Raw genomic sequence first — 22,606 nt, 5'->3', positions numbered from 1 at the left:
GGGTGAGGGAGGGATGGACAGATGCGGACTGAGTTGAACACACAGCTCTGATGTAGACTCTGAGTCTCCTGAACTAAGTCCAGCCCTTGAGGGGCAGCGCAGGCAGAGTGGTGAGGAGGGAAGGAGTTCAGGCTTGGTATCAGCACGGCTTCCTGTGGGCTCTGTGTGGAGCCACATGGGCAAGAGGGCGTGGCTCTGACCCTGGCTCCCCTGGGGTCTCCATGAGACCTCTGCCCCGTGCACACTGCTCCCACCTGAACCCCAGTCACCCTCCCTGCACCCTGCTGTGAGGCCCTTCAGTGCAAATCTGCACCCACGAACACCACCTTCTGAGTGCCCTCCAGCCCGCTCTGACACCTGGCTGTGTGGAGAGGTGAGGCCTTGCTTCCGCAGGCTCTCCAGGGAAGGCTGTTTTCCATGCCCATGGGTGGTTCCTCCCTTTCCCATATGGTCGAGCCCTCTCTCCTCACCCTGTGCAAAGCCCCAGCTCCTCTGCTCGCCTCCTCCAAGCCCCCTGTCCTGGTCCTGTGGGTCAGCTCCCTCCCGTGTAGCCTCTCAGCTCCTTGGCCCTGCCTACCAGCTTGTCCCCCACCCGAGCCACCCTCCTGGTGGGCCATGCCCTTGACCCTGTCAGCCCTGGCAGCAGCTCCTCCTCCCGAATCCTGGTTCCAAGCCCCCTTCTCTCCAGCTCGCCTGATGGAGTGCTCCAGTCCCTGGCTGCGCGCAGACCTCACTTCCTGGCTGCAGCCGCATTCTCACTCTTAATTCCTGCCTGCCCCTTGTCCTTGCCCACCTCTGCCTCGCCCCACTGGATTTCCATGGCCCCTGAGGTAGTGCCCCTCACTCCCACTTGCCCAGCACCATCTCCCTGACCCCCTCGCTCCCTTCCTCTGTTGACTGGCAGGAACTTCCCACCCTGCGCAGTCCTAGGGAACCGGTTTCCCACCCTTCAAACTGACGGGCTTATACCTGCTCCCTGCAAGCCCTCCTACATGCCCTGGCCCCTCCCCTTCATCTGACCCTGACCTCGACTCACGCCTCAATGTGAAAGTCAGAGCAGATGGAAAGGCACCCCCCTCAGGCCCTGACTGCCCATTATCACCTCTGCTCTGTCCTGCTAGTCTCGGGTGAAGTCTTGCGGGGGCCGACTCTTCCTGGACTCACTCCCTGGTGATGTCCCGAAGATGCTCCTGCAGCTGCCTCCTCTCTCCGGCACTGTCAACCTCTCCCTGCCACTGCTTTCCTGTCACTCACCACCCCTGACATTGTCATCCGCTGACCTGCCCTTTCCACTCCCCCTCCTGTACATGAGGCCCAGGCCTTGCTGTCTTGGTCACCAACGTGTTCCCAGGCCCAAAATGGCATCAGGAACAAATGGTGATTCATGGTTATTTGGTTAACTGAGCTGAAGAGTGGATGAACGGATACCTATGGCCCCGATCCACCAGCCGTCAGCCTATCCTGGCAGCCACAGAACCATGGGGCCCCTGGCCGTTTACAAGGGCAGGGGCTCCTTCCTCCCTGTGCTGGGCGGACAGCTCCCACCTGGGACCTTCCACACGGCAGGAGCCCCATGAACAGGACACAGAGTGGCGGAAGGGAAGGGCCCTAGACCTTTGAACAGTGACCCAGCTACTCAGAAGGGGAAGCCATGTGGAGACAGCCACGGGCTTCAGCCGTCCCGTCCCAGGCAGGCGACCCCGACCCACACTCCAGCTCCCTGCACGCCGTCCTGTCTCTCGCCTCTCACGCTTGTGTGATGATGAGAAGCCGGAAAAGATTCTCCCCATCATGATGGTGCATCTCGTTCTCGGCAATACCTTGACGTCCGGTGCTGCCCGGCCCCAGGCCCCGTGCCCACACCCCGCCTTGCCTGCAGGGGAAAATTCTAGACTCCTGAGGTCTTTGCCTGCTTTGCCTATTATCTGCACAATTGCTCTACCCCCACTTTTTCCACAGGAAGTGTCCTGTCTAGGGGTGAACATGAACCTTCACAGCTAAGGCTAAACGTGCAGTGTCTTTGGAGATGGCCCCAAGCCAGCAGCACCAAATTTGGGATAATTTTACAATAAAGGGATGTGCACAGTCCCAACCAGGCATGCGATGCGCTTCATGATGGGGCCTGAGCAGGGTGGTGGAGAGCCCTGGCTTGGGCATTCCCCTGGCTTGGGGTCAGGGGCACAGGCTGTGACCAGTGTTGAGGCACATAGGAGGTGCTCCTGTGAGATCATTAGAGACACAACTTCCTGCCCTCCACAGGGAGCTACTGCGCACCTGCGCTGAGCTGGCCGGAAGTGTGGCTGGGACAGGACCATGAGCGAGTCCAAAGGACCTTTGCTCTCTGGAGTCAGTGATGAAGGGGGGTTGCCAGAGGTGAACGTCAGCAGGCCAGTAATTGAAAAGCCTGCAGAAGAGCACAGGGTTATCCAGAATCCTGTCTGGAGAAAAGCAATTGATGAGTATTGTTCTTGAAACAACCGGTTGCATCTAATCAAATAATGTTTTCCTTAACTCACCGCTAATTTGTTTTCAAGATGAACCTTATGAGTGGTTTCGAGCTGGGATCTCTTTTCTGGCTGTTTCTAGATGGGTTGCCTCAGTCCTTCCTCTCACTTTGACTGCTCTGAATAATTCACATGCACCAAATTGCTTCTTCTCAGACTGCCTAGACATGGGAGGGAGAGTCTGCAGGGCCTGGCTGGGGGTTGGCGAGCAGAAAGGAGGTGCTGGCTTCCTCCTCCTTGTCCCTGATGAGGGGCTGTGGACGATTTCAAAAGACAAGAGGGTTTCAGGGCCGGCCTCCCTGTCCCCCAGAGGTTTCCTGTGTCAGGAATTCGGGGCTTCCCGGGTGCTTCTCCTCCTTTTACATCATCGCCCAAGTCTCAGTTCTGGGAAGCAGGAAGGAGAATCCATTCCGTGCCTCAGAGGATCGCAGCCGAATGTCCAGGGCACATGGAGTGGCCCTCATTCCAAAAACAGAGCGTCCAGGTGAGGACAAGAGCCAGAACCAGGCCAGGCCCTGCCTCGAGGGAGGGCGAGCCACCTCTTCACAGTCCCACCAGCTCAGCTGGCTGCGCGCCCCCAAGGAGCTCTGGAAATGGTTGTTGAAGTGGAACGATGACTGGAAGGTGCCAGAAGCCGGGCACTGGCTGCCTCCAGACCTCAGTTTGCTTCTGAAGGCCCATCCCTGCCTTGCATGCTTTCCCAATGTTTCACGGTGGGAGGTGTGCACCGTCCTTCGTGTATTCAACACACACAGACTGAGAACCTTCGTGTGCAGGCATGGGGCGGGCCCAGAGGAGAGCAGAGGCCAGCAGGACCGTAGGGACTCCCGTCTAGCCTGGAGTCTTCTGCAGGGCACAACAGACACTCAGGAGCCGGCTCCTGTGAGGCAGAGAACCTAAGGCTGAGTCACGCTGACTTCCTAGAACTAAATCAAAAGGAAAACCCCACACCTCCATGCCCAAGTAACAAAACAATCAGAGGCCACTCCCTTTGCAACTCCCCACTTTGCACTGCCTGGCAGAGGAAAAATGGAAAGTACCTCTGATTGTTCCCCTCCCACAACTAATCAGACTGGCCGCCAGCCAAGTCTTCATTTGCATACGGGTGTAACCTGGTAACTTCCTTTCAGCCTCTGATTGGTTGCCTCCTGTAACCAATCAGACTGTAAACAATCAGACCAATCAAACCAATGTCGGACCACTACTTCATTTACATAGGGTGTAAACAAGTAACCAATGGGAAACCTCTGGATGATATTTACACACAGAAAACTCTGTAACCAGTCCTCTTTGAGCCACTTGCTCCAGCCCACTCCCACTCTGTGGAGGGTACTTTCATTTCAATACATCTGTGCTTTCCCTGCTTCATTCTTTGTTGCTTTGTTTGTGTATTTTGTCCAATTCTTTGTTCAGGTTCTTTGTTCAGGTTCTTTGTCCAGGTTCAAAATGCCAAGAACCTGGACAACTCATAGTCAAGACTCTCCCCAGGTAACACCTGTAGACAGTGCTTGGGAGGGACCTGAGCTCATCTGCAGATGGAGCAGCTGCCAGCCCATCAGTGTCCCAGAGCAGGCCTGGCCCAGGGACGGCAAGCAGAGCCCATCAGACAGCGGCAGCTGTCTCCATTGAGACCTCACAATGGAGCCAGCACCTGAGCTGCCTGGCTGGGATGTGGACACAGCCCGACTGGGGCACAGCAAGGTGGTTAGGCACAGCCTGCCTGGCCCTCTGAGGCCCAGTGGCAGTCACCTGACTACTCCCAGCCTTAGTTTTCCAATATGAGAAATGGCGCTTGCTGTAGTGATGAGAGGAGGTAATGAACACGAGGGCTCAGCCTGCAGCCCAGCACCCCATGCTCAGCAAATGGGGGTGACAAGGAGCCACGAGAAGTCAGCAGCCCCCAGGGCCACACCTCACTGCCCCTGCATTCCCACCACCATCCCCACGGAGGCTTGGTGCCCACCAGTCAAGACCCCTGTCCTCCCCACCCACTGCCCCAGCCCAAGCACCCCGTGTCACTTCCCACCATCCCGGCCCCATTGTCCCAGCCCAGGGACTCTGTGTTACCCCCTGCCATCCCCACCCCACTGCCCCAGCCCAAGCACCCCATGTCACCTCCCACCATACCCACCCCACTGTCCCAGCCCAGGGACCCCGTGTTACCCCCTGCTATCCCCACCCCACTGCCCCAGCCCAAGCACCCCATGTCACCTCCCACCATCCCCACCCCACTGTCCCAGCCCAGGGACCCTGTGTTACCCCCTGCCATCCCCACCCCACTTCCCCAGCCCTGGCACCCTATTGTCCCCACCTCACTGCCCCAGCCCTGGGACCCTGTGTCACCCCCGGCCGTTTTGCTTTTTCAGGGTTGGCTCAGGGCCTGCTCTCAAAGGTCCCCAGGGGTGGGTCCTATGTGAATCCCGTTTTACAGATTTGAAACCTAAGGCCCATTAAGGGACACACAGCAGCCAGTGCTGGAGCACTCTGATGGGATCCCCAGTATCCCCAGCCCTCACCCCACCTCAGTGTCCACAGAAACTCTCTTGGCGTTAAACTCGTGTGTTTCTTTTTGCTTCCTTTGAGGAAAATGGCTCCCCCAAAAGCCTGTGCTAGTGAGGGGAGCAAGAGAAGGTGAAGGGGTCTAAGAATCGCATGGTTTTATCCAGAAAATCACCTTTTAGATTAGTCTCAGCCTGTATATAAAGAATCGGTAAGGGCCCGAAGAGGCCGCCGCATTTGTCTGTGATTTTATTGCACTTGAGTGGGCTAAATTAGCTGCTGGTTTCATATCCAAGAACTGGAGACTCAGGAACATCTTCTGGAATTGTCTGTCCCTGTCTCTGTCTTCTGCAGTAGGCTCAGAGCCCCTTGAGGCTGGGGTGTCTGGTTTGAGCCTTTGGCATGGAGCTGTGCGATCATTAACCTTCTGCAGAGTTGGGCTGCAGGGTAACCCCACAGGGCCACGCTCCCCCCGCCTGCCTGGGACTAGTGCAGACTGACAGTCTCCTGGTAGGAGGGACCCCGGGGAAGCTCCTCTGGCTGTGAGTCTTCTCCAAACCTCAGCCCAGCTCCAGAATTCACAGGCCAGGCCAGGAGCCGACGGGCCGCAGTAAAAGTTTAATTGAATCTCTCCTTTCCCAGCCCTTCTGGAGCTAATGTCAGCTTCTTGGAGTGACCTGATGCAGCCAGTTTTTCTTCTTTATTATGGCCTGCCACAGCCAATTTAACAGGGACAACAGGAGCCAGCCTGAGCGAGACAAACAGCCTGGGGGCTGATAGGAGGGCCCGTCCTGCTAATTACAGAAGTGAGGAGGCTGGAAGCTGGGGAATCGCGATGCTGGTGGACGGACAGCTGGCCACCTTTCAGGCTGTGCTGTGCTGGGGACAGCGGAGGGGTCAGTGCTGGAGGGCACTAGCCAGAGAAGGCACTTTTCGTGGAATCTGGATGAGCCACTGATGTCCTTGAAACAGGAAGCTGTTTGGGGGTGAAGTAGTGGCTGTGAGGCTGGGGGTCCTCCAGGGATAACAATTCAATAAGCGAAACTGAAACAACGAGAGACACGCAGCAACAACATCATTCTTGGCGACCTTATTTTCCAGACTGTAGCGGGAAGGAGAAGATCAATAAGGAAATTGCTGTTTCTTTTCACAGAGTCAGCTGCTGGAACCTCCAGTGTTGCTACAGCCCAGCCTCCTGAGTCTGACTCGGGAAGGAAGAAAGCGGCCTCCGGAGGAGTGGGCTCCGGTCCCCCAGCAATTCTGAAAACTTTGGCCCATTCGAAGGCAGTTGCTCGATATCACGCCAATTTCCCCAAACATGGCTCTTGGAAAAAGCCTGAGGCTGGGTGTCAGGGGACTTGGGTTCCGTCTCAGGCCCATCTCTCCCTTACCGTGCTAACTTGGGCAGGTGTTAACTAGTCTCTCCGGGCCGCGATGTCTCTACTTGCCGAGTGGGGATGACAATGCCTCAGAGGCAGAGCAAAGGGCTGTGGGAGCCCCTGGAGGGAGGGACTGCACGAGCACAGGAGAGGGAGGTTTGCGCCCGGCCAGAGGGTGCTTTGCCTTGAGGCCAGGAAGAGTCCTACTTTGAGGCCTTTTCCAGGTAAAGGGAGCAAAGAGACCCCTGAAGTCATCTGATGTGATGCCCGGTGCCCCCGCCAGCCTGGGGGAGCCGTCGCAAGAGCCGTGGCTGCCACTTCCATGAATGGGGAGCGGCGTCTGCTGGCACTGGACCCATGCTTCCCCAGCACAGCCCCCTCACTGTGACACCAGCGTTGGTATCCTCGGGTGTCGGGTGGGGAAACTGCGGCCCAGAGTAGGCTGTGCGTGGTGGAGGCAGGGTTCGAGCCCAGGTCTGGGTGACTTCATGCCCGAGCTTTGTTCCTCCTGCCAGGCTGGGGGACTGGAGCCGTGGGACATGGGAGCAGAAGTCTGCCGGGAAACAGGCAGGGTGGGCTTACCACTCCCGTTTTCCAGGGAGGAGATTAAACCAGAGGAAGCAAAGCGAGTCTGCCAGGCCCGCTTGTTAACCCGCAGCTGCTCGGCCTCTGGTGGGGTGCTCGGTATTAGCTGGCGTGCGTGCTGTATGCATGCATGTGTGTGTGTGCACATGTGTGTGTGTGGTGGGGCACAGGGATAGAGAGCGCACAGAGGAAAGGCTCAGCTTCCACATCAGCCATCCTCCCCTGAGAGGGCAGAGGCGGAAGTGATGCCGCCTGCTGGCTCGGCCTTCCCTGGCCAGAGCCTCGCCTCCCTCCGCCGCCCTACTCCATGCTGGCAGCAGTGACTCACCAGCACAGAGCTTCGTAGGGCACGCCATTCTGGCACCTTCCACTGCCTGCTGCGTGATGAATAAATGGCCGGTGACTCACCAACTGGAGGACGCACCGTGGGTGCCAGCAGGCCGGTTGAAGGCAGGAAAGAGCAGCGCCCAGGCTCGGCAGTCCCAGGTTTGCACCCAGAGCTGCGGCTCATCAGTGGGCCTGGGCTGCTGCGTAATCTCCCCGTGTCTATTTCTGTAAGACGGAGGTCACACAGCACCCTGTGGGGTGAGGGTTTCCCTGAAAGATCCTTCCGAAGACAAGACCTCACCTTGCCTTAGAATCCTGGCAGCGTCTCTGGAGTTAGGCACTTGGTTTAGAACAACAAGAACTGTGTCCGAGAGACACAGCACCCCGGAGTCACCATGGTCTTTATTGACCCAACAACACTGGTGAAGGCAAAAGATGGTGCTCAGGTTTCCAGATGCTTCCTGGAGTAGGGCCTGACAATCACAGGGGTTAAGCATCATGGTTTATAAGCTACTCAGAGATCACTTTATAAAACAATCCAGGGACCAGGTGCAGTGGCTCACACCTGTAATCCCAGCACGTTGGGAGCCCGAGGCAGATGGATCACTTGAGGTCAGGAGTTCAAGATCATTCTGGCCAACATGGTGAAACCCTGTCTCAACTAGAAAAAAACAAAACAAAAAACAAAACAAAACACACACACACACACACACACAAAATTAGCCAGGCATGGTGGTGCTTGCCTGTAATCCCAGCTACTCAGGAGGCTGAGGCAGAATTGCTTGAACCCAAGAGGTGGAGGTTGCAGTGAGCCGGGATTGCACGACTGCACTCCAGTCTGGGCGACAGAGCAAGAGCCTGTCTCAAAAAAAATAATAATAAAAATAAAAATAATTTTAAAAATTAAGAATTAAAAAACCATATAGGAAGTGTGCAAGGTGGTTGCCTGTGAAAAATCCCCTGCTCAGGTGAGTCCATGGGTCCTTTTGCCTTCTGGACACAGAGGCCAGCACATACCCAGGGAGAGGAGGGCCCAGGGATGGACCCCAGGACAAAGGGTCCAGGGGAGCAAGTTGGGCCATTTAACAAATAGCATTGGGGCCAAGGAGCAGCCTTTGGAAGAAGATGAAACTGGTTCCACACTTCACACTATCAAAGCCAGGGCATGGACAGCCCCAGGGTAAACAGACAGACTTTGCAAGAACCAAGAGAAGCAGGGATCACGTTGGGGAAGGCGGCCCTAACTCCAACCCCGAAGCCACAAGCATCACAAGGATGATAGATAACCCTGACTACACTCAAACACACACACAGACACACACACAACACATAACCAACATCAGGAGACAAATGACAGACTAGACAATATGTGCACCTCAGACCACAGAATCACAAAGGCTGACTTTCCACACATAGAAAGAACTCCCAAAATTTGAGAAAGTAAGACCAACAACTGAATAGAAAACAATAGGCAGAAGATAGGAACTGAAAGTTCACAGAAAACAGAGTCAGTCCTCCCCGCTGCCCTGAATGATGGCTCCCTTCCACCTCACCCCCCTGAGGATGGAAACAGAGGCAAAATTACTCACTGGCCAGGCCTTATAGGAGGCTGGACCAGGAGCTGACCCAATTCCTCTGCCTCCCGGTCCCCCTTGAGCACTAGGAACTGTCTGCTGTCCCAAATCGCAGGCTCAGCTGATCTCCAAGCTTCAACTGCTGTCCTAGACCCTTCTCCATGTTGGGCTGTGCTCATCTTGTAGACTCTGGGTTGGAAGCCCAGTGGCCCGGGGAAATTGCTGGTGTCTCAGAGCCTGACTTTTTTCCATCTAGCATGGGGCATGACGCCTCTTCAACGGGGCGGTGAGGTCCAAGGGTTGCCGGGGGCGTGGCATCCAGGTATTATCTGCTCCAAGCCACCACTTCCTTTCTTTCTTCCTTCCTTCCTTCCTTCCTTTCTTTCTTTCTTTCTTTCTTTCTTTCTTTCTTTGTTTCTTTCTTTCTTTCTTCTTTCTTTCTTTCCTTTTTCTTTCTTTCCTTTTTCTTTCTTTCTTCTTTCTTTTCTTCCTTTCTCTTTCTTTCTTTCTTTCTTCCTTCCTTCCTTCCTTCCTTCCTTTCTTCCCTTCCCCTGCCCCTTCCTTCCTTCCTTCCTTCCTTCTTTCCTTCCTTCCTTCCTTCCTTCCTTCCTTCCTTCCTTCCTTCCTTCCTTCCTTCCTTCCTCTCTCTCTCTCGCTTGTTTGCTTGCTTGCTTGCTGTCTTGCCCAGGCTGGAGTGTAGTGGTGCGATCTCAGCTCACTGCAAACTTCACCTCCCGGGTTCAACCAATTCTCCTGCCTCAGCCTCCCGAGTAGCTGGGATTACAGGCATACCGCACCACGCCCGGCTAATTTTTGTATTTTTAGTACAGACCAGGTTTCACCATGTTGGTCAGGCTGGTCTCGAGCTCCTGACCTTGTGATCTGCCCGCCTCAGCCTCCCAAAGTGCTGGGATTACAGGCATGAGCCATTGTGCCTAGCCCACTTGCTGCTTTCAAAGGGAATTAGGTGAAATGTTCCAATAAAAAACATTTTCACACTCCACAGCTTTATGGACTACGACTAGATGACCTAAGGGTTTCTGGGTTGAAGAGTCCCTCGGGCTGAGACAATGGGCCCGTTTGTGCTCAGTACCTGCCCCGACGTCACCTGGCTTGCTGACTGTTGGCTGTTCCAGAGTGTTCAGCTATGGAAATAACAGTGCCTTTCATTTCTGGATCCCTTCCAAGAACAGAGCTGGGCACTGGCTGTCCACCCAGCACTTCCCAAGGATTGTTGAGACAGAGCACCTCACCCAGAGCCGCCTACCCAGAGCCAACCCCTCCTGCTCACTGGTTCAGAGAGCAGAGCCGCCCACATCTTCTGTTTCCCCCACCAAGTGCTACCTGAGCACCTGCAGCTCTGACAGGGCCAGGGGAGGATTCGATGGGGAGCTGTGGGACCAACAGTCACAGGCTTCCCTCTGGAAATTAGGAGAATTTCAGACCCAGCTGCAAACAGAACTGTCTCTTGCTCTGGCCTCTGTGTATTGCGAATAACTGCCAGATATGGACTCTGGGCCAAACTTTTAATAAAGAAAATTCATCCACAGATGTTCCACCATCAGCCAATATACTCGGTTATTGGAATCTGGGAGATTTAATGGCAGCCTGGTTATTTTATTTGCTCTCTGGGTAGAACCATTTTTCTTGTGTATGTAATATCCTGGAGGAATATTTTCCCTAGCAAATACTCAGCCTGAGACAGCAAATCCATTCTGGACCTGTCAGGTCATTATTTTGTCTTCTGGTGACTCAGAACAGATATTTGAATGCTTGTTTTTTACTATGTCACTAAGGGGAGATTACAAGGAAATCAGCCCGTAATCACAGCCTGTAATTATAGAATAGTTCCCACTTGATTGTGCTTGGACAGGTTTCTGTCTCGTCGGGGTAAACTCATTGGCCTGCTAGACTGAGTTATGGCTTGATGGAAACTCAGGGCTTTTCTCTGAATATCCACTCCTGTGTCTTGCAGGGGGCATTTTGTGTGCCACCGCGCTCTGAGACAATTTGTAAACAGAAAAGTATAAACGTGCCTCCAGCCCTGAAAGTCCTCACTGAAAGTGCACTCCGCAGTGGCGTGTGAGCGCTGCTTTCCTGCCAGTGAGGCTGTAGTTATGGATTAGGCATTTCTGCCCCACTCCCTCCCAAATATCGGGCTTTTTTGTCTTGGGTTTGGAAATTCACCTATTTTGGATACCCCCAAATCCCCCTCAAATCCCAAAGAACATGTCATGTCAGGTGCAAGAGACTCATAGATGCTGGATGCAGGGGCTGGTGAGAGCCAGGGAACGGGAGAACGGAGGCCTGGAGGAACGCAGGCCAAGGAGGAATGCTCCCTGGAGGTGAGAAGGAGTCGTTCCCAAAATGATGGCCCCTGAGCTGGCCCCTGGGGAAGGCAGAGAGCGGGGACAGAAGGGCACACAGGGCAGGCAGGGCAGGCGAGAGGCTTGGGGCGGGTGGGGCCTAGGAGAGCAGATGGGAAGTGGCCACCCCGACTGGGAGAGGCGTGTGCAGGGCACAGACAGGCACTGAGCCCCTGCCATGGGGTTCTAGGCAGCTTGGGACTGGGGCATCACTGGCCCACCCAACCCACTGTAGAAACATGGCCCTAGCGGCCAGGAGGAAGGGACCTGGGGCAGACTTCGACTCCACGAGCGGCTGATGGCCATGGCGACTGGGAGCTGGGCTCTGCACCTCTCCGCAGATGCTGGCTTCTCCTTCCCTTCCCACCCAGTGGGTTAGGGCTCACCTGTGCCCTATTTGTCATCCCGTATTTTCCTAACTGTTGTCCAGGGCCAGGTAACAAGGGAGCTAGACATGGTCCCCAAATGTCCCCAGCTGCCACCTTCCCTGACCGGTTCACTCTTTCAGCAGCCCCAACTTCTGTGTGGTTTCAGGAGCTGGTGTCGCACCTTCTCAGACATTCTTGGACTCGGTTCCACTGGCTACTACAGACGTCAGCTTTGTCTGACTGCGCCATCCACGATTCCACCTGGGTACCGCCCGGCTGGCTGTCTTTCCAGGACAAATGATGGAAATGCTGGAAGCTCATCCACTCACTGGTTTGAGCAGGTGCCACTGGGCCAGGCTCACAGGGTTGCCTGGCTTTCCCCAATGACCCACATCACTGCCCTGCCACCCACGTTGCTGGGGGTGCCAGCTGCCCCCAAGCAGAGGGCAGGTGAGAGCAGGGTGGCTCCCAACCTCACACTATACCTGGGGACCCAGACGAGCAGCCCTCTTCTGCCAAGTTGGTGCCAGGAACGTTGTGAGGGAGTTACTCTGACATTCTTCCTTCTCTGGCTGACAGGAAGTGCCAGTATATTCCAGAAAGACTCCAAACATTGAGTTGTGGCCTGTCCTGCAGAGACCTCAGGGCCTGCTGAGTGGCAGGGGCCTCACGAAGCTCCCAGGATCTAGCCCATGTGATGCCCTGGGCCCCTCAGGGTTGCCAAGGGCTGCACACACCCGGCCATAGTTTCCAAGGCCTGGGGAGATACGGGTCCCAGAGAGGGCTGTCACTTATCTCCAGTGCCTGCTGCAGCCCTAGATGAGTGAACTTTTCCTCAGCAGGGTCTCTGCCCACCATGCCAGTGCTGACTAAAGTGGGTGCCGCCCCAGGCCCCCTCCAGTGGTGTCTATGGAGGGACAGCAGGGTGGAGATGGGGTGTGGGTGGAGTCCCTGGTGCACAGCCCCAAGTTGGAGTAGCGCCCCAGAGTCACCTAAGAGGTGGCGGGTAGATTCTAAGCTGCTTCTCCAGGTTGGGGGGATGGGAGGTTGGAGATCCAACAGGGACCTGTCCTTGCCCTCTTCCGAAAGAAAGGATTTATTTCCCTTTCTCAAAGGGCCACTCAAACCCAGGAATCCGTCTGCAAGGACCTGGAAGTCTCGGTCATTTTTAAAACTCTCAGAAATGACAAGTGAAGCAAAAAGATCTCCTAATGTTTTTATTGTTCCTTAGATAACTGGATAGTACAAAGTTTGCCTTTGTTTTTTACTTAAAAAACGTACTTTCCGCATACTGTTGCCCGTATGACTTTCCTGTCCCATCGGAAACCAGAGTTTCCCCAGGCGAGCCCTTCCTATCTGCGGTTACATGATTTAGCTAATTTAACAAGAAGAGAGTAATTCCTTTGATTATTATCAACATGAACTTGACTATGTCTCTATAAGGGTGAACACTGATTTTTTTTTTCTTTTTAGAAACAAAAACCATCCACTTATTAATCCAAACTACGGCATTGCATTTACAACAATCATCGCATAAACTGAACATACGAAGTTACCACCTCAAGGGAATAACAGAAGAACGTTGCACAATGTATCTACGGGGTACGCGAGTTCAAACAATGTGGGCACAGCAACTTCACTCTACACACTCTGACCATCGCTTCAGTATGTACTAGACACAGGTCCAGGAGCTATGTGGAGCCTCAGCACGGTTAATCTAAGAGACAGCAACACAGTCAAGAAACGGCACTGCAATGGGATGCGAGTTACACTAGCCTACGGCCGGGTGCAGCCCATGGCTCTCAAAGAGCCTGGACGCCACATTCCTCGGAGCTGACCACGATCTAAGGAAATGTTCATGCCATCCTAACAGTGGGTTTTTCCCCGGTGAGAACTGGCCAACAGTCATTGCCTCGCCTCTTTAGTATGTTGTTTGACCAGAGAGGGACAGGGCGGGGAGGAAAACCGGGGCGCCGTGGGCTGCAGTTCCAGCTGCAAATACGGGAGTTTCTTCCGACGTCTGTGGCCCGCCGGCTCGAAAGGGAGAAACACGGAGGTAATGCCATCCCTCGATGTCAGAATCCGCACTGCTGATGATTTTTCAAGATCGGTATTGTTAGTGTTATTGGTATCTTTTTGGCAGCAGTTTCACAGGAGTCCCTTTGTGGTGAGGACGTGGGCCCTTGGCTTCCAGGAGGAGGGAGCTACAACTCGTCGGAGCGGATGACGTGGAAGAGGGTCACGTTGTAGAGGATCTGGTGGCCGTTGTTCCAGGCATACAGGGCCCGGTCCTTGGGGTTGTAGTCCAGCATGGAGATGTGGGAGTATTTGTTCTGGAATGGGATGTCGATGTATTCATAGGTGGAGGCATTGGTCTGGTATGCATAGTGGACCTTGGTACCCCCTGAGTAGCCGTTGGTGACGTACAGCGTGCCGCAGATGATGAAGGCCTCCCCGGCGCTGCGCTTGGGGTAGCTCGTGTTCCAGGTCTGCAGGGTCTGCAGGGACACGGGGTCCAGCCTACTGACCACGATGTTGCCAGCGTTCTGGTTGGTGGCGTACACGGCCCACAGCCCGCTCTCGTCCACCATGAGGTCGATGTCCGAGTGGCCACCCCAGGCGTAGTGGTACATGTTGTTGTAACCGGCATAGTCCAGGCTGCGGGTCTTGAGGATGGTCTCTGTCTTCAGGTCAAACCTGATGATGATGTGGCTCTGGAACTTGTTGAAGTAGATAGAACCGTTGTAGACCACCTGCCCCGTGCCCGACCAGGGGTGGGGGAGACGGTGGGAGGTGAAATTGTCCGTGTTCATGAAGTCAACCATGGACTTGTACTCACGTACGAAGCGGTTGTTGTGATAGCCGTCCATGTACCACACCTGTGGAGAGAGCAGACCCGGTGGTGAGCACTTCCAAAGACCCAGTGAGTACTCCAAAGACCCAGTGAGCACTTCCAAAGATCCAGTGAGTACTCCAAAGACCCACTGAGCACTCCAAAGACCCAGTGAGCACTCCAAAGACCCAGAAAGCACTCCAAAGACCCCGTGAGCACTTCCAAAGATCCAGTGAGTACTCCAAAGACCCAGTGAGTACTCCAAAGACCAAGTGAGCACTTCCAAAGACCCAGTGAGCACTCCAAAGACCCAGTGAGTACTCCAAAGACACAGCGAGCACTCCAAAGACCCAGTGAGTACTCCAAAGACCCGGTAAGTACTCCAAAGACTCGGTGAGCACTCCAAAGACACAACGAGTACTCCAAAGACCCGGTGAGCACTTCCAAAGGCCCGGTGAGCACTCCAAAGACCCAGTGAGCACTTCCAAAGATCCAGTGAGCACTTCCAAAGATCCAGTGAGTAATCCAAAGATCCAGTGAGTACTCCAAAGACCCGGCGAGCATGCCAAAGACCCGGCGAGCATTTCCAAAGACCCAGTGAGCACTTCCAAAGACACAGAGAGCACTCCAAAGACCCGGCGAGCACTCCAAAGACCCAGTAAGCACTCCAAAGACACAGTGAGCACTCCAAAGACCCGGTGAGCACTCCAAAGACCCGGCGAGCACTCCAAAGACCCGGCGAGCACTCCAAAGACACGGCGAGCACTCCAAAGACACGGCGAGCACTCCAAAGACCCAGTGAGCACTCCAGAGACCCAGTGAGTACTCCAGAGACCCAGTGAGCATTTCCAAAGACCCAGTGAGCACTCCAAAGAGCCAGTGAGTACTCCAAAGACCCAGTGAGCATTCCAAAGACCCAGTGAGTACTCCAAAGACCCAGTGAGCATTTCCAAAGACCCAGCAAGCACTCCAAAGACCCAGTGAGCACTTCCAAAGATCCAGCGAGCATTCCAAAGACCCAGCGAGCATTCCAAAGACCCAGCGAGCACTCCAAAGACCCAGTGAGCACTCCAAAGACCCAGTAAGCACTCTAAAGACCTGGTGAGCACTCCAAAGACACAGCGAGCACTCCAAAGACACAGCGAGCACTCCAAAGACCCAGCGAGCACTCCAAAGACCCAGTGAGCATTTCCAAAGACCCAGCGAGCACTCCAAAGACCCAGTGAGCACTTCCAAAGACCTGGTGAGCACTCCAAAGACCCGGTGAGCACTCCAAAGACCCAGTGAGTACTCCAAAGACCCAGTGAGGACTTCCAAAGACCCAGTGAGCACTTCCAAAGACCCGGCGAGCACTTCCAAAGTGGGGTGGAACAGGCTTGTGTGGAAAGCTGTTCCTTGGGCGGGAAGCTGTTCCCCGACTTGGAATTTCCTGGACCTCAGGAGAAGGAGCTGAAAGAGCCAGGAAACAGTAGTCACGACCAAAGGGTGCCATGTCCTCCCTCCAAACCCAGAGAGCCAGGAAAGAGTAGTCACAACCAAAGGGTGCCACGTCCTACCTCCAAACCCAGCACACTCCTCAAAAGGAGACACAGCTATTGTGCTATCAGAGAAAGGATGGCCCAGTTTGAAGAAAGGGTCTAGTGGGAAGGTGAGATGGGAACACACAGTTTGAAGAAAGGATCTAGTGGGAATTTGGGATGGGACACACAGGCCCAGTTTGAAGAAAGAATCTAGCAGGAAGGTGGGATGGGAGCACACAGGCGTATACGTGCAGCCATTCGCCCCTAATCCTGCCCTCTGCTTGCTTGGGATGACACCAGGTTGTGGGGCAGCAGCTGCACCTATCTGTTCACTGCCATACCCCTAGCCAGGGGCCTGGCCCATAGTGGGGGTCATACACACGTGTGCAAGAAAGGAGCTCCTTCAGTACAGAACCCAGGGCTGAAGGGGGCCTTCGAAGGGGCACAGCCACCTGGCCTAGCCGAGGGCAAATGCTCACAGCCCCAGGCAGCTGTTGTCTGCAGTGAGGATCGACTCTCAAAGTCACCGGGGCGGGCCAGCTCCCATATCCCAACAAGACACCACGCTCAAGGCCTCTCCTCCCACCAAGCCATCGCTGCGGCACGGACTGAGTCATCCTGTCTGCAGGGCGGAATGTCATTAATTTGGCATTTGGGATGCTGTGAGTGTAATCACTCATTGTCACCCCTAATCCAGCAAAAGTGCCTCTCCGAGAAGAATATGGGCTTTGAAGAAGCCTCTGGTTGTCGAAAGCAACCAAGATAGCAAACCCAGTAATGGCCCAAGTTTGGGGTTACAGAAGAAGAGATTTCCGATGAAATGCCAGTTGACTTGAGAACTGTCTGGACTTTGCGCAAAATGCTTTAGTCATTTTCAACCAATGTGGGAGCAAATTAGAAAGCAACGCAGTTAGGCAGAGGGAGTCTGGCAGGCTGGTGCCGCTCTGCATGCATCTGTCTGGCAATGAGACAGCTGCTTTATCCGTCGAGGGCTCTGGAGCTGCAGGAGACTAAGGATGAGGGAGCTTTCAGACTTGGCATTACACACGCGCTAAAAATTAAAAAAAAATTATAACCTTCTTCTCAAGACATCCATTCGATACTTACAAGCAGATGTGCTTTTTGTTTTTAATGAGATCTTTTTTTTTTTTTCAGCTGGGCCTCATTTGAGGCTATTATCCTTAGCCTCCCACAGACCAAACCTCAATGATGTGGGTCACAGATTAGAACCGGGAGGGGTATTGGAGGGAACGGGGCCATGTGCTGAAACCCCCTTAATGACACTGCCACAAAGCTGCCCTCTTGCCCCCTCTTTGCTTGGCTATCTCATCAGACAGGGAGCTCACTGCTTCTGAAACTCACATCTAATACCATTCCTCCCCAAGCCCTCTCCTGACCTGCCTGGAGGGGAACCACCCCTGCCATCGCAGCACACAGAACACCTTTGACTGTGTTCACACATCACCCCCACAAACAAGCCCTTGATCGCGGGGACCCAGGGTGACTCACCCCTGTACCCTGGGTCCAGAGCCTCCTTCCCATGGGCAGAAGGGGGATACACCAGCATCAACTTGCTAAGGATTTTTAAATCACCTTCTCTTCCAGTACACCAGCAAAATGACACAGGATACCGCACTCTGAAGATGTAATTGGGGGTGGGAGGGAGAATCGGCACACGGTGCACAGGCTCAGGCAGGGTTCAGGGGAGGCCGCTCTGAGCGTTTGCCAGTTTCTGTGGGGTAAAAACTCCTTCGAGGCTGAGATCCAGTTGCCAATGGGAAGGCACCCATGCAAAGAGAGGCACTCAGAACCCCACAGGCCTTGGGATAAGGAGCCCCGTGCTTCACAGTAGGTCCCCTCCTCTGAGTTCATTCCCTCAATGTTCTCATCTGAAAGGCCTTTTTCTTCCCCTTTCTCCAAGTCCCAAGGCTCAGATCAAATTCCATCAATGCCTGCTAGCTTCCTCTCTGGGGAGGCGGCCCCAAATACAGTACCGGCTTTTAGGGAGATTGAGCACTTGCGCCTCCGGGCAGGACCTATCGTTCTTTCCAAAAAGACCCAAGGGCACCCAGCAAAAGGCCAAGAGCGGAACCAGGCTGCCTGGATGCCAGGTCACTTGTGTGCCGTTACTCAGGGCATTCACTGTGCCGGACGCTGGCATCATCTCTTGCCTTCAATTATCACATGAGCCCGTGCACCCAGGGAGCCGTGATCGCCCCATTTTTAGACTAGAAAATGGAGGCCAGGGAGGTTTGGTGACTTTCCAGTGGTCAGAGTCAAGAGGGGACTCCAAACCCTGAGCTTGAAACCACCAATCTGGCCAGTGGTGATCTGCCCTGGGGGCACTGCACATGCCCAGAAACAGTTCGATTGTCTTGACTGGGAAGTGGGGAAAGTGCTGCTGGCATCTAGGGGCAGAGGCCAGGGGTGCTGCTACCCATCCCCACACACCAACAGCCCCCTGCAACGAGGCATGATCCGGTCCCACACGTCAGTGGGTGAGGCTGAAAAGCCCCAGCCCTGATGCGCTGCTGTCCATGCCATGAACCTGCCAGGTAAACGGCCCATTTCCCTCCGTCCACTTATCCTTTCTGCCCCCAGGGGAACCTGGAGGGCAAACCCTCTGTCCCTGCGTCACCCATCAGGGCTGACCTTGGGCAAGCAATCTCGTCCCTGTGCTGGGGAAGTGGGGCCTGGCCAGGTAAGGCTTCGCCGGCCTCCTCCCTCTTCCGAAGGATGCAACCTGGATGTGGACGTGGGTTTGAAGGCTCGGCCTGAAGCTGCAGACCTGAGTGGTGAATGTGTAGGAAGGTGAAGATGGCACCCCTGGCTGAAGATTTCGGTGGCTCCCACAATAGAGGATATTTCTTTCCTAGCAGGGCTGAATTACAAAGAAGTACATTCACCCTTGACCTTTTGTGGCCCTAGCGGTCTTGAGGAAAGGATCTGTGTGTGTCAAGCTCCAGCGGGGAAATTGTCCCAAATAGGGCAGACGCATTTGCAGGGAGAAGCTTGCTGTTCCTGCCTGGCCTCATCCTTCCTGCCATAGAGCAGGGGTGGGTGGGGGGCTTGGATGACATCAGCTCCGGGGTCCACACTGTGCCGCGTGCGAAGAGGGCTATTCCCCATGCACATGGGAATAATCCGTGTCTGGGGCCTGGTTCCCGCTGCCTCATTCCTCAGTGGTGCTGGCAGCTCCCTCCTGGCCTCTGCAGCTCTGGTGTGGCCTGTGTGAACCTTCTAGAATGCCGGTCCAGCCTGTCCCTTACCCAGTCCCCTGTACACACCCTTTCTGATCCCAAACTCCAAACTCTGCTGCCCAGCCAGCCCCTCCCTCCCTCCCCAGGCTGCCCAGTCACATCCTTCAGTCCCAGACCTACCAACTCTTGCCTCTGTGCCTGCGGGAGCTGCCCCTCCACCCCGTCCCCATCCCTGCCCCAGGCCACACTCACCCCCTTGGGAGGTATTTCCTAAACCCCTGTACCCCCAGGCAGGCAGGTGTCCACTCTTATAGTAGACTGAATAGTGGCCCCCAGAAGATAGGTCCACATCCTGGGACCTGCAAATGGGACCTTATTTGGGAAAAAGGTCTTTGCAGATAGGATTAAGAATCTCGGCTGGGCATGGGGGCTTACGCTTGTAATCCCAGCATTTTGGGAGGCTAAGGTGGGCGGATCACGAGGTCAGGAGTTCGAGACCTGGCCAACACAGTGAAACCTCGTCTCTACTAAAAATATAAAAATTAGCTGGACATGGTGGCACGTGCCTGTAATCCCAGCTACTCGGGAGGCTAAGGCAGGAGAATCACTTGCAGTGAGCCGAGATCGCACCACTGCACTCCAGCACTCCAGCATGGGCAACAGAGTGAGACCCTGTCTCAAAAAAAAAAAAAAAAAAAAAAAAAAAGAATCTCAAGATGAGCTGGTCCTGGATGAAGGTGGGCCCTAAATCCAGTGACAAGTGTCCTTATAAGAGACAGAAGAGGGGACACAGACACAGGGAGGAGCCATGTGAAGACGGAGGCAGAGACTGGAGTGATGCAGCCACAGCCAGGAACACATGGAGCCACGAGACGAGGCAGGAGGGTCCTCCCCTGGCATCTTCAGAGCGCAGCCCTGCAGGCGCCCTGGTCTGGGGCTTCCAGCCTCCAGCACTGGGTGACAGTGAGCCCCTGTGGTGCCCCCCAGGCTGTGGGAGCTCCTGCAGCAGCCACAGGGCACCTCTTGGGCTTCCACACCCGTGTGCTGGGGCATCGGGCATGTGTCTCCCACCTGACCGTGAGCCCGGAGGGGAGGCCTTGCCGCCTCACTGTGACCCAGCACCCCCACTCAGCTCAGGGCACACCGTGGGTCTGCCAAAGCTTTCTGGCCTCCCAGGCACTGCTCTGTGGATCCCACAGAGTGAGGGGTGTCCACGTGGCTGGACTCCTGTTAATGCGGCACCAAGAAGCGCCTCCACCGCCAGCCACCGCCAGTCTCCAGCGAGACCTGGGGAGTTTCCACCCCTCTCTGTGCCTCAGTTCCCTCTGCTGTAAAATAGGTCCTGTGAGGACCTGCCACCTGTAGTGGTTCAATAAATGCCAGCTATCATCATTTATGTCCTTAGCCCGGGACTCGAGTGGGCTTGGTGGTTCTGGGTAGGCTAGACACGGCCCTCAGAGCCTGCTGGAGCTCATCAGGCCCAGGCACCACCCAAAGGAAGAAGGCCATAAGACCACCTGTGGGGACGTGGCGGTAGGGTCAGCCCATCTGAAAACCGAGACCACAGGGGGCTTGGCCTCCGGACTAGCCCAGGATGCAGCAAGACAGGCCGTGACACCCATCCCTCCACAGAGTCACAGAGGCTTAGGGACCCCGTCCCCAAATCCCCACTTCAGAGAGGCCCAGAGAGAAGGAAGGCCTCTCTCAGGGTCACATGGCCAGCTGTGCCAGCTGCCACATGCTCTGTGCATTAGGAAGCGTGCACGCTGGTCTGGATCTTGCACACAGCACATCCAAAGCCTGCCCTGACCCCGACACAGCTTGCTTCCACCCAGGTTCCCAAGGCTGCCCTCCCCCACGCCACAAAGTGGCTTCCATCTATGAAGGAGACAGCAGCTCCCCGCACCTGCTCATCCCTGGCTGGATGCCCCCAGTGATGCCCTCTTCCCTCCTGCCATGGCCTCTTCTCATCCCCCTTCCTTCTCCCCCTCAGGGACCTTGTCCCAATCTCACTTGGCGGCCCCATGTGGTGGTCCGTCTGTGCCCCTGCAGAAGGCAAGCTCTCACGCCGCCATCCTCCCAGGACACCACGGTGTCCACACGAGCCCTTGCTGCTGAGCTCTCCCAGGGTCAAGGCATCCACAGCGGCCCAGGAGACGCCCGCCCAAGAGTGGCCCTGTGCGGACTGGGTGGACGGGTCACCCACCGACTGGGAGAATGGTGCCTGAAAGCAGGTGTGCATGGCTGGCTGGCCATCCTGCCCCAGGTCTTGGCTACACAGAGCCCCAAGGCTGGGCCCCAAGCTCCATCAAGGGCCACCATTCATCTCCTATTTTCCAGGTGCTGGGGACACAGGCCCTGTCCTCCCAAAGCTTCTGACCTCATGAGGGGCCATGGCTCCACGCAAAAATCCTCGTGCTGGAAGAATCTTGGGGTTCCCCAGGCATAGGAAGGGGAGACCAGAGAGAACATTCTGGGAACAGAAGGCCAGTGCAGCCTGGAGGGAACAGGGACCTTAGACAGCAGAGACCAGAGACTCTTCTGCAGGTGCCTCTCCCAACTGAGAGCCCCACAGGGCGGGTGGCCCCTGGTGCCGTCTTTCCATGGAGCCCTTTTGGCGATCAGCGGCCAGTGCATGTCCCTCCCTGACCTAACTGCTCTCCATTCACAGCTGGACGGGCTGCTGTGTGCCATGAGCTGAAACCTGGTGTATTAGAGCCACTGGTGCTGCCCCCACAACGTATGCTGAGAGCCCCCTGTGCAGGTGTGCCCTTTCTGATCATGACCCCAAGGAACAGAAGGTTAAGAATGTCCTGGCTGGGCGTGGTGGCTCACGCCTGTAATCCCAGCACTTTGGGAGGCCGATGTAGGTGGATCATGAGGTCAGGAGATGGAGATCATCCTGGCCAATGTGGTGAAACCCTGTCTCTACTAAAAAACACACAGAAAAAAAATAGCCGGAAGTGATGGCATGCGCCTGTAATCCCAGCTACTCGGGAGGCTGAGGCCTGGGAATTGCTTCAATTCGGGAGGCGGAGGTTGCAGTGAGCTGAGATTGCACCACTGCACTCCAGTCTGACGACAGAGCAAGACTCCGTCTCAAAAAAAAAGAATATCCTAAAGGTCACAGAGCTGGGAGGGGCAGCAGAGAGACGCAGACTCCAGTGTGGAGCAGCTCCGAACCTCTGTGCCCAGCTCTGAACCACGCCACCCACAGGGACCCCACACAGGAGCTCACTGGTGACATCTGATGTCCCCAAGCTCCGCAACACACCCACCCTCAGCACAGGCAGGAAAGTTCAGATTCCCAGCCCCGAGATCTAGGAAAAGCAGGGGGTCAGGGCTGGACTCAGGCCTCCTGGGGGTCGTGGAGGTCTCGCACACTGATCATCCTTCTCCAGTTCAATGGGCCATGCGCTACAGTCCCTGAGAGCCTGCGGCCAGACGGCGA

At 55.3% G+C, this 22,606-nt stretch overlaps 1 protein-coding gene across 3 annotated transcripts in view, besides 3 other annotated features; it reads right to left on the bottom strand.

Annotated features, from left to right (window-relative positions):
- Positions 6,516 to 7,182: an enhancer, noted in NCBI's record as "H3K4me1 hESC enhancer chr9:138018649-138019315 (GRCh37/hg19 assembly coordinates)". NCBI's record gives its function as "activates a minimal SCP1, AML or CMV promoter by ChIP-STARR-seq in naive H9 embryonic stem cells {active_cell/tissue: H9 hESC(naive)}" and the evidence as "EXISTENCE:reporter gene assay evidence [ECO:0000049][PMID:30033119]".
- Positions 7,183 to 7,849: an enhancer, noted in NCBI's record as "H3K4me1 hESC enhancer chr9:138017982-138018648 (GRCh37/hg19 assembly coordinates)". NCBI's record gives its function as "activates a minimal SCP1, AML or CMV promoter by ChIP-STARR-seq in naive H9 embryonic stem cells {active_cell/tissue: H9 hESC(naive)}" and the evidence as "EXISTENCE:reporter gene assay evidence [ECO:0000049][PMID:30033119]".
- The window catches only part of OLFM1 (olfactomedin 1), a 45,680-nt gene continuing 35,874 nt past the window's right edge, over positions 12,801 to 22,606 (bottom strand). For 2 of the 3 annotated variants that reach the window (NM_014279.7, NM_001282611.2), the window contains exon 6: positions 12,805 to 14,481. In NM_014279.7, the coding sequence (NP_055094.2) occupies positions 13,807 to 14,481 (675 nt within the window). In that variant the 3' untranslated portion in view covers positions 12,805 to 13,806. Of the gene's footprint in view, positions 14,482 to 22,606 lie in introns of all 3 variants that reach the window. The other variant, NM_001282612.1, reaches the window with a different exon arrangement.
- Positions 17,335 to 18,034: an enhancer, noted in NCBI's record as "H3K4me1 hESC enhancer chr9:138007797-138008496 (GRCh37/hg19 assembly coordinates)". NCBI's record gives its function as "activates a minimal SCP1, AML or CMV promoter by ChIP-STARR-seq in primed H9 embryonic stem cells {active_cell/tissue: H9 hESC(primed)}" and the evidence as "EXISTENCE:reporter gene assay evidence [ECO:0000049][PMID:30033119]".

Source organism: Homo sapiens, chromosome 9 (assembly GCF_000001405.40).
Source record: "Homo sapiens chromosome 9, GRCh38.p14 Primary Assembly".
Lineage (NCBI taxonomy): Eukaryota > Metazoa > Chordata > Mammalia > Primates > Hominidae > Homo > Homo sapiens.
The sequence above is the reverse complement of the archived record's forward strand: the minus strand, read 5'-3'. Positions and strand labels throughout refer to the sequence as shown.